We start from the raw sequence: 9,927 nt of genomic DNA, 5'->3' as shown, positions 1-9,927 counted from the left end.
GAATTCATTAGCATTAAAAGGAGTGGGAGGGAAAAAGGAAAGGAAACTCACAGATTCAACCACAAAGAGCCTCTGGCCTCCTGCGGACTTGGACCGCTCACCCATCACAACTGGGAGGCCCGGGGATGGTGGGGCTTCTGTGCACTTGGTTCCAGGTGGTCTGGGCTGTCCATGTGAAAGCAAACACCATCCTCGTGAGAAGGAACCTCTGTCTTTGGCCTCACGGAAACCCCACAGACACCCTTCCAAGGGCCCCAAGAAGCACACAAAGATATCCAAGTCTGAAAGGGAAGAAGGCACCATGAGTAAGAACCAGCAGACAAGCTAGCAGACACCCGCACAGTCTCCCCATATTATTATACAATTACCAAACAAGACACTACGGTACATTTCAAACCATAATAGGAGAGATGGCCCATGTTCGGTGGCCAAGCATAGCACAGAGCTCCTCACTCCTCCAGGAATTCCACTGAAGGGTGGCAAGTTCTGGAGTTCAAGCCACTGGGTAGGCAACAGGAGTGCAAGTGGCCACAGTTCAGGCGCTGTTGGGCAGAGCAGGGGAGGGGGCGCTCCCAAGGAGTCCACTGGGAGACGCAGGCAGGGGGCTTCTCAGGCAGCCTCACCAGCTTCCCTTCACACTGATCCCCTGTAAACGTGTGTCCAGCCTCGATGTAAGAGGAACAGGGAGAAATTGATTTGCTATTCATAAAATGTGCGCCTCTCTGCGCCTGCGCCCGCGCTGTGCGCCTTTGCGAGGGCGGAGCTGCGCTCTCCTCAGCACAGACCCAGATTGCATCGTGAGGGCGAGCTGAGTTCTCCTCTGCACAGACTTCGGAGATACAGCGAAGGCGGAGCAGTGTTTTCCTCAGCACAGACCCGGGCGGGCGGGCCGGGGGCACCGCGAGGGCGGAGCTGCGTTCTGCTCAGCACAGACCCGGGGTACACCTCGAAGGCAGAGCAGCTTTCTCCTCAGCACAGACCTTGGGGACACTGTCTCCCTTTGAGCAGAATAGGTGAATGAATGAATGAGTGTAATCACATGCCCTGCCTTTCCCTGTTTATCAAGCCTGGCATCACTTTAGAATCTCTTGTTAGGATTTATGATACCCAGGCTTTACCTCAGAAGCTGAGAGTGGCACTCAGGTATAAGCATGTTTTTCCAAGCTCCACAGGTATTCCATAGCGCAGCCATGTTTGAGACAGTGGGGTCTAAGAAACATGTAGAACTAATTAGAATCCTGAAGTGTCTGTGATAAAGGTAATAAGCTTTTTGTAAGATTACAGAGGACATAGGTTAAGTTGGAAAGCCTGAGTGTTGAGATTCCTAGGCTCAGGAATTTTAATTTAAGCAAAGTTAAATGTCTTAACTTGCAAAGACATGAATCTGTAGATTCCAGATTAATGGCAGGTGTGAATTGTACAATAGAAACTGATCTAGCCTACGTGCCTTCTTGGACTGGCAGACTATGTTAATCTTTTTATTTTATGACAAGTTCAACATTATTCCCTTTTGTACTGAATTTTAGATTACTGATTTTGGGCACTCCAAGATTTTGGGAGAGACCTCTCTCGTGAGAACCTTATGTGGAACCCCCACCTGCTTGGCTCCTGAAGTTCTTGTTTGTGTTGGACTGCTGGGTTTTAGGAGTTATTCTTTTTATCTGGTAAGAAATATTTTCATTGCTTCACAGACTGGTAGGAGGTGATTAGATGAAGTCACAAATGTGTCTTGCTCTGTTGTCCAGGCTGGCATGCAGTGGCTTGATCTTGGCTAACTGTAGCCTCTGCCTCCTGGGTCAAGTGATCCTCCCACCTCAGCCTCCCGAGTAGCTGGGACTACATGCGCACACCACCATGCCCAGCTAATTTTTCTATTTTTTGTAGTGATGGGGTTTTGCCATGTTGCCCAGGCTGGTCTTGAACTCCTGGGCTCAAGTGATCCTCTTCCCTCGGCCTCCCAAAGTACTGGGATTACAAGCATGAGCCATTGTGCCCAGCCTAGCTCACTTTTTGACCATTGATTTAAAGAAAAATCAGACTTTTCATTATGCTGAAAAAGAAATCTTTATATCTGAATGCCACTGAGAATGCCACTTGATTTCTTTTCCTTTCTCTCTCTACCATTATTAAGCCTTAGTGGGTATCCACCTTTCTCTGAGCATAGGACTCAAGTGTCACTGAAGGATCAGATCACCAGTGGAAAACACAACTTCATTCCTAAAGTCTGGGCAGAAATCTCAGAGAAAGGTATGAATATGAAAGGGTTAAGAATTTGTGGTATTCTAAAATGTGTGTGTCCTGTGGTGGGAGTTTCTCTCCAAATTCCATGGTGTTTTCTCCTGTCAATTCTGTTCTTATTTTCTATCGTTAGTTTCACACCATTTGAGAGGCACTGGAAATTATTAAGAGCATGCACTCAGGTCCTGGGTCTGCTACTACTTAGCTGTGTGGCCTTAGGCAAGTTATTTAACCTCTGTCTCCAATTTCTTTCTGTGTAAAGGGACCCTCAATAATCCCTACCTTAAAAGGTTTTTGAGGGTTAGGGATAATGTACACAAGTGCCTGGTACCTATTTTAATGAGCAAAATAAATGCACTTGTAACTTTTTAGTTACAAGGTTTCCTTTGAGTAAGCAAGCGTGTAAAAACTAGATGTCTTTAGTTACCTTATATTTTATAATTTATCCTGGCAACTTTAGTTCCCTGAAGAGAAAGTAGAAAATTAAATGTCAAATAACATAACATAGGTGATTGTGTTAAATGTCAGAATATTTAAGGAATAATAATGTTGTAATATACAGGCCAGCGTGCATTTGTTGCTTGCTGGAGTAGTCAAGTTTTATTTCTGACAAGTCTGCAGTTCCAGGGAGCCTCTCCCTGGCTGAGTAACTGTCACCCATCCATCTGTAGATGTCAGGGAGAGTTTGCTGTGCATCCCAGTTATCTTAGAATTGGGTAGAAGTTTAGCTTTAATTAGTTTGACCTCGAGTCTAGCAACAAGAGAGGGAACAGGCAACGAAGAGGTAGTGACTGATGTCCCAGCAGCAGGAGACAGGGAGTGTCATTGTCATTCCTGGTCTTCTCACAGTACTCTGAATACAGAGAATGAGGAAGATTAAGGGGCCCTGTCTGCTGACTCCCTGATGATCTCAGACCCTCTCTGCTCTTTCTGGATGGTGACCTGTTAATTCTGGCATACTGTTACTGATAATATATTTATACTTTTCACTGTGATTTGCCCAATTGTTGCTTTAGCTCTGGACCTTGTCAAGAAGTTGTTGGTAGTGGATCCAAAGGCATGTTTTACGACAGAAGAAGCCTTAAGACACCATGGTTTCAGGTGGGTGTGGGACAGTGCCTGCTAGCATAAAATACATGGGAAGCCCTGCTGCATGAGAGACATGAGACAGAGGACAGAAACATATTTACTTTGTTGAATCTGTTTAATTGTTTTAATGTATTGGGGGAGTATCTTGGCAGATGGGTTACAACCTGTTTTTTTTTTCCTTTTTTGAGACAGGTTCTCATTCTGTCTCCCTGGCTGGAGTGCAGTGGCACAATCTCAGCTCACTGCAACCTCTGCCCCCCGGGTTCAAGTGATCCTCCTGCCTCAGCCTCCCAAGTAGCTGGGATTAAAGGTGCATGCTACCACGCCCAGCTACTTTTTGTATTTTTTGTAGAGATGGGGTTTTGCCGTGTTGGCCAGGCTACAACCTTTTTGATGTTACTCATGGCTGTTGGATGTACAAGCTCACTTTATGTCCTGTTCTGGTTCCACCTGGCTGCCCCGAGTCTCCAGTTTGGCCTGTGTCCTTTTGAGGTCTTGTTCTGGCTCTACCCCAAGCCATGTCCACTGTTCTTCACAGGTGGGGTGCATTCCAGCCATCTTCAACCTTAAATCAGGGAACTGGGGGAGGAGGGCAGCCTCCCTGGGGAGAATCCAGCTATTTCTCAAGCCCAAGTGACTGGGTATAAAGGGTCCCACTGCTTGTTCATTCAGATGAGTAAATGTGTCCTTAGTGAAGGCTGTCACCTGCACCTTTCATCTGTGTTACTGCTGTGCTCCTGCTAGGGTTAGGGGCTGCCATTATTAAATGCTGACCTCATTTGGAACTGCCAAGAGTTGGAAGTACATTGTGGCTTTGCTGGGTTAATCTTTAGTTTTGGAATTAGCTACGGCATTGGGCAGGTTTTTCTGATAGATGTCTGGTCTTCTGTAACGAGCAGTTCCATTCAGCACAGCCATGCCCCTTTCTATTAATTTTCTTTTGGTCTGTGTATTAGTCTGTTCTCACACTGCTATAAAGAACTGCCCAAGACTGGGTAATTTATAGAGAAAAGAGCTTTAACTGACTCACAGCTCCACATGGCTGGGGAGGCCTCAGGAAACTTATAATCATGGTGGAAGGGGAAGAAGGCATGTCTTAATGGCAGCAGGTGAGAGAGCTTGTGAAGGAAGTGAAGGGTGAAGAGCCTCTTATGAAACTGTCAGATCTCGTGAGAACTCACTCACTATCATGAGAATAGCCTGGGGGGAACTGCCCCTATGAGCCAATCACCTCTCAACAGGTCCCTTTCTCAACACCTGGGGATTACAATTTGAGATGAGATTTGCATAGGGACACAAAGCCAAACTGTATCAATCCGTTTTCTGTGGAGATGGGGGACAGAACTGGTAGCTTGAGCTAGAGGCTGTTACTTGAGCTAAATGCTGTTTCTCTGGGGATTACTGGTCCAGGAACTCCTTGGGAAATCCAGCCTCAGCCCCGTACTTCTGGGACTCTGGGAAGACTGTCCCCATTCTCTGTTCTAATCCTCTACACCTAACAGTTTTGCTCAGGCCAGCTCAGGTTGAGAACAACAAAAACTTAAGAAAAAAAAAAGACAGATATATGTGTTTTGGATGTTGCCCTGGAAACTATAGTCTCCCCAGAAGAAATCTGTCAGATGATTTAGCATTTAATAGACCACACAGATTTGAAACAGCAGGAACCTAGAGGAAGGGGGTTTGGAAACAAAGGGTGCCTTTGCATGTGGGGATTTTAATTTTGATGAAAAAGAGAAACATGTCTTTTGGCTCTTTTCATGTGTCCTAATAGGGAAACTCTTGGTTCTAAATGTAGAGGTACAGGAGCTGTGTTCATCTCTAGCAAAAAAACAGAGCTGGCCAGTTGAGCCTGGGAACAGGGTTTGCATCTGCCTGAAATTTATGAGCAAGCATAGCCTATTTTTCTTGTGCTTCTTTGTCTCAAAGAAAACTTATTAACAACCAAGGAGAAGGTGAAGTTCAACTCCGTTGCAGAATCTCCCTGGAATACTCTTTTAGCCACCTTTTGTTTTTGCAGTAAAAGGAGGAATGAGCATTGAATGAAGACAAAGATGAAGACTGACCATCTAAAACATCTGTTAGTGATAGTTTGGGTTTTATTTTGGGAAAATTCAGTGTTTTCACAAAAACCAAATGGTTTTGTGGTTCTGGCGCTGGACTGAGTGTTGGGAATGTGGATTCTGGTCTCTGTTTTGTCATTAACAGAGTGCCCAGTTTTGGGAGCATCCCTTACATCTACTGTCTGCCTCATATTTACTGCCTGAAATAGAGGATTTCTTCTGTTTGCTTTCAAGGGATATTATAATTTAATTTTTATTTTATTTATTGTTGGAGACAAGGACTTCTTCTGTTGCCTAAACTGGAGTGCACTGGTGCAATTACAGCTCACTGCAGCCTCGACCTCCTGGACTTAAGGGATCCTCCCACCTCAGCCTCATGAAGTGCTTGGATAATAGGCACGAGCCACTGTTCCTGGCTAATTTAATATTTTGGAATAATTGTAGACATTATGAAGAAAATCAATGTTTATTTATTTATTGCCTTTTTTGAGATGGAGTCTCACTTTTGTCTACCAGGCTGGAGTGCAATGGTGTGATCTCAGCTCACTGTGACCTCCACCTCTGAGTTCAAGTGATTCTCCTGCATCAGACTCCCAAGTGGCTGGGATTACAGGTGCCTGCCACATGCCCAGCTCATTTTTGTATTTTTAGTAGAGATGGGGTTTCACCATGTTGGTCAGACTAGTCTCGAACTCTTGACCTCAGGTGATCCACCCACCTTGGCCTCCCAAAGTGCTGGGATTCCAGGCATGAGCCACTGTGCCTGACCTGATTACTTGTTTTAAATATAAGCCTGATTAGGCTTGTGACCGCTCTGTTTGGCTTCACTGAAGGGCTGCCAAGAGGTGGACTTTTGAGAGTGACACTGCAAGATAATTGAGATCCTAAGTAAGGCTGTGAGAGGGTGCGGAGAGGAATCCAGATGAGCTTGCTGCTGTCAAATGGCAATGGAGAGCTACACTGAGAAACTCAAAACAGAGTGACCTCAAGTGATCTGCCCTGCCTTGGCCTCCCAAAGTGCTGGGATTACAGGCATGAGCCACTGTGCCTGGTCCTCCTTTCCTTCTTTCTTTCTTCCTCCTTCCTTCCCCCTCCCCTCTCCTCCATTCCTTTCCCCTCCCCTCTTTCATCCCCCCCCCTTTTTCCTTCCTTGCTTCTTTCCTTTCTTCCTTCCTCAGGGTCTTGCTGTCTCACCTAGGCTGGAGTGCAGTGGCATGATCACTGCACCATGACTTTCAGGCTCAAGTGATCCTCCTGCCCCAGCCTCCCAAGTAGCTGAGACTACAGGTGCATGCCACCGTGTCTGGCTAATTTAAATTTTTTTTTTTTTTTTTTTTTTTTTGAGACAGAGTCGTAGTCTTTTGCCCAGGCTGGAGTGCAGTGGTGTGATCCTGTCTTACTGCAACCTCCACCTCTCGAGTTCAAGTGATTCTCCTGCCTCAGCCTCCTGAGTAGCTGGGATTACAGGCATGCACTACCACGCCTGGCTAATTTTGTATTTTTAGTAGAGACGGGGTTTCACCATGTTAGCCAGGCTGATCTCAAACTTCCGACCTCAGGTGATTCGCCCGCCTTGGCCTCCCAAAGTGCTGGGATTACGGACGTGAGCCTCTGTGCCTGGCCTAATTTTTAAATTTTTTTGTAGTGACAAAGTCCCAGTATGTTGCCCAGGCTGGTCTCAAATGCCTGGCCTCAAGCAAATCTCCCACCTTGGCCTCCCAAAGTGCTGGGATTATAGGCATGAGCCACCATGCCCAACCTAGTGTTGTAAAATTTCCATATCCATCAAATTGCCAAATGGTGGAGGACTTTACTGTATCCTCTCTCTTTCCCCACTGTGGTATGCTTGGCTCAGTGGGAGGAGGGGCTGGAGTTGGGTGGGAAAGTACATGAGGCATTGGAGTCAGATAACTCTGGGTCTGTATTCTGCACATGCCACCTGTGAGTGGCTGAGCTGGGCTTCTGGCCAGAACTCAAAGGCCACATTCCTAGTTATAGATGTTCCTTTCACCTTGCTGAAGTTGGGGAGAGCTGCATCAGACCACCTCTCAGGGTTTCCTAATGCAAATCCTTGAACCCTGCAGAAGTAAGCATCCAGAGAGGTGGGAGCTACTCGTATACCCACTGTCTGTGCCCTCCTCATCTCCCGCTCCTGCAGCATGAAACAGCTGTAATGCTTTGTTATGTTTATTGTCTCCCTTTCTCATTAGACCTGAGCTCTGGGATATTGTGGCCTTAAGTACTTCTGAAAATTTGTATGGCATCTGCTGGGTGAATTTTCCTAGGGTGCTGGGCTGGTTGTTAGGACAGCCTGGGTGACTGGCCTCATTCATGGCAGGGGCAGCAGGTGGAGAGTGGTCCTGGAAGGATTTGAGGAGCTGCACGGAGTCAGACCCAGCCCCTGGCCCCCTGATTGTCACCTTTCTCAGGATCTGGGATGCTAATTCAGAAACTCTTGACTGCCGGAGGCTGTGATTGACCCACTGAGAGCTTTTAGGCATGTGGATGTGAGTCAGCCAGGATTGATGGAGCATTGACTGCTAATTTGACTCCTCTGGGAAGGTAGAGGGGGGCAACACATAATGCCTTCGCTGTGGGAGCTTCATCAAGGGGATGATTCTTGGACGGACATCTTTTCCTCCCTCTTTCCACAGGGGCATGCTAGCCCTGTCATTCTAGGAGTTTATTATCCTTCAGACACAGCTACTTATGTTTTTAATTCCCTCACAGGATGAAGACATGAAGAGAAAGTTTCAAGATCTTCTGTCTGAGGAAAATGAATCCACAGGTCTATCCCAGGTTCTAGCCCAGGTATTCGTATTCCTGATGATCACTAAATGTAGTCTAGGCTTAAGGAGCTGATAAGTAAAGAGATGAAATTCAAGATTTTCCTGAGTAATAATTGCTTAACATTGTTTCAGTTATAATGTAGTAGAAACTCTCTTTGAACTTGATTCACTCTAGCACCCTTAGATTTAAAAATGCAGGTTATGTTTAATATCTAACACATAATAGACAGATAAGCACAGCTAGGGATTGTCATCCAAAAGGTCACCTGCAAGGCAATTTCAAAAGACTCTATTAGAGGCTCAAATATAAATTTGTTGGAAAATTAAAATTTGGGTCCGTAGTTGATTCCTTGATTACAATTTTATTCTTTAAAGTTCTTTGTGAGTATAAGTTAATTCCAGTCCTGCTTTTTTGTTGTTGTTGTTGTTGAATGGTAGCTGTCCTTTTTCCCACTGTTTTCTCCCCCCCGATTTTTATTTTCTTGAGACAGACTCTTAGTCTGTCACTCAGGCCAGAGTGCAGTGGTGCAATCTCAGCTCACTGCAACCTCTGCCCCCTGAGTTCAGGCAGTTCTCCTGCCTCAGTCTCCTGAGTATCTGGGACTACAGGTGTCCGCCACTGTGCCCAGTTAATTTTTGTATTTTTAGGTGAGATGGGGTTTTGCCATGTTGGTCAGGCTTGTCTCGAACTTTTGACCTGAAATGACCTACCCACCTCGGCTTCCCAAAGTGCTTGGATTACAGGTGTGAGTCACCACACCCAGCCTTCCTCCCAATTTTGCATATGGGAAAACAACTAAGGCACAAAGGTTGTCTTCCCGCAAAAGACCAAGACTTGGGGCTTCAACTGAGAGGTATTGTAGTCCTTTTAAACTTGATATTTAGAAGAGGATGATCAAGAGGAAGTTGGTTATGCTACTTGCTTTCAGTATACATCATTCAGAGGTCAGAAGCCATAAGGGAGAGAAATATCTATTAGATAAGCATGTCTGAGTTGCGGGCTGTGATGAGGACTCAGTTGTCAATGATGAAAACCAGTAATTTTTGGTACTAGAATTTCACATCAAATGCCCCCACTTTACTGGAAGTACATTGAGGAACTTTGATAATCTTAAAGAAGCCAGTGATTTTCTTTTGAACATTTCTCCATTTTCCTTTATTTTCAGCCTTCTACTAGTCGAAAGCGGCCTCGTGAAGGGGAAGCCGAGGGTGCCGAGACCACAAAGCGCCCGGCTGTGTGTGCTGCTGTGTTGTGAACTCCGTGGTTTGAACATGAAAGAAATGTACCTTCTTTCACTCTGTCATCTTTCTTTTCTTTGAGTCTGTTTTTTTATAGTTTGTATATTAATTATGGAAATAATTGCTTTTTCACAGTCACTGATGTACAATTAAAAACCTGATGGAACCTGGGCTTTGTGCTTCTGCTTGATAATCGGTTCTTTAGTTGAATGGCTTTATTATTTATTTATTTGAGATGGAGTCTCACTCTGTTGCCCAGCCTGAAGTGTAGTGGTGCAAGCTTGGCTCACTGCAACCTCTGCTTCCCAGGTTCAAGCGATTCTCGTGCCTCAGCCTCCTGAGTAGCTGGGATTACAGGTATGCGCCACCATGCCAAGCTAATTTTTATATTTTTTTGTAGAGACTGGGTTTTGCCATGTTGGCCAGCCTGGTCTTGAACTTCTGACCTCAGGTGATCCGCCTGCCTCGGTCTCTTAAAGTGCTGGGATTACACATGTGAGCCACTATGCCTA

At 45.6% G+C, this 9,927-nt stretch overlaps 1 long non-coding RNA gene across 1 annotated transcript; it reads left to right on the top strand.

Annotated features, from left to right (window-relative positions):
- Nucleotides 1–781: 781 nt before the first annotated feature.
- Nucleotides 782–9,586, top strand: LOC102723890 (uncharacterized). Its single transcript, XR_430589.4, has 6 exons — nucleotides 782–1,013; nucleotides 1,527–1,664; nucleotides 2,132–2,247; nucleotides 3,255–3,339; nucleotides 8,118–8,198; nucleotides 9,343–9,586. It is a non-coding gene; the product is annotated as an uncharacterized LOC102723890 (long non-coding RNA).
- The last annotated feature ends 341 nt before the right edge of the window (nucleotides 9,587–9,927 follow it).

This window comes from Homo sapiens (assembly GCF_000001405.40).
Source record: "Homo sapiens chromosome 16 unlocalized genomic scaffold, GRCh38.p14 Primary Assembly HSCHR16_RANDOM_CTG1".
In the NCBI taxonomy this organism is placed as follows: Eukaryota; Metazoa; Chordata; class Mammalia; order Primates; family Hominidae; genus Homo; species Homo sapiens.
The sequence above is the reverse complement of the archived record's forward strand: the minus strand, read 5'-3'. Positions and strand labels throughout refer to the sequence as shown.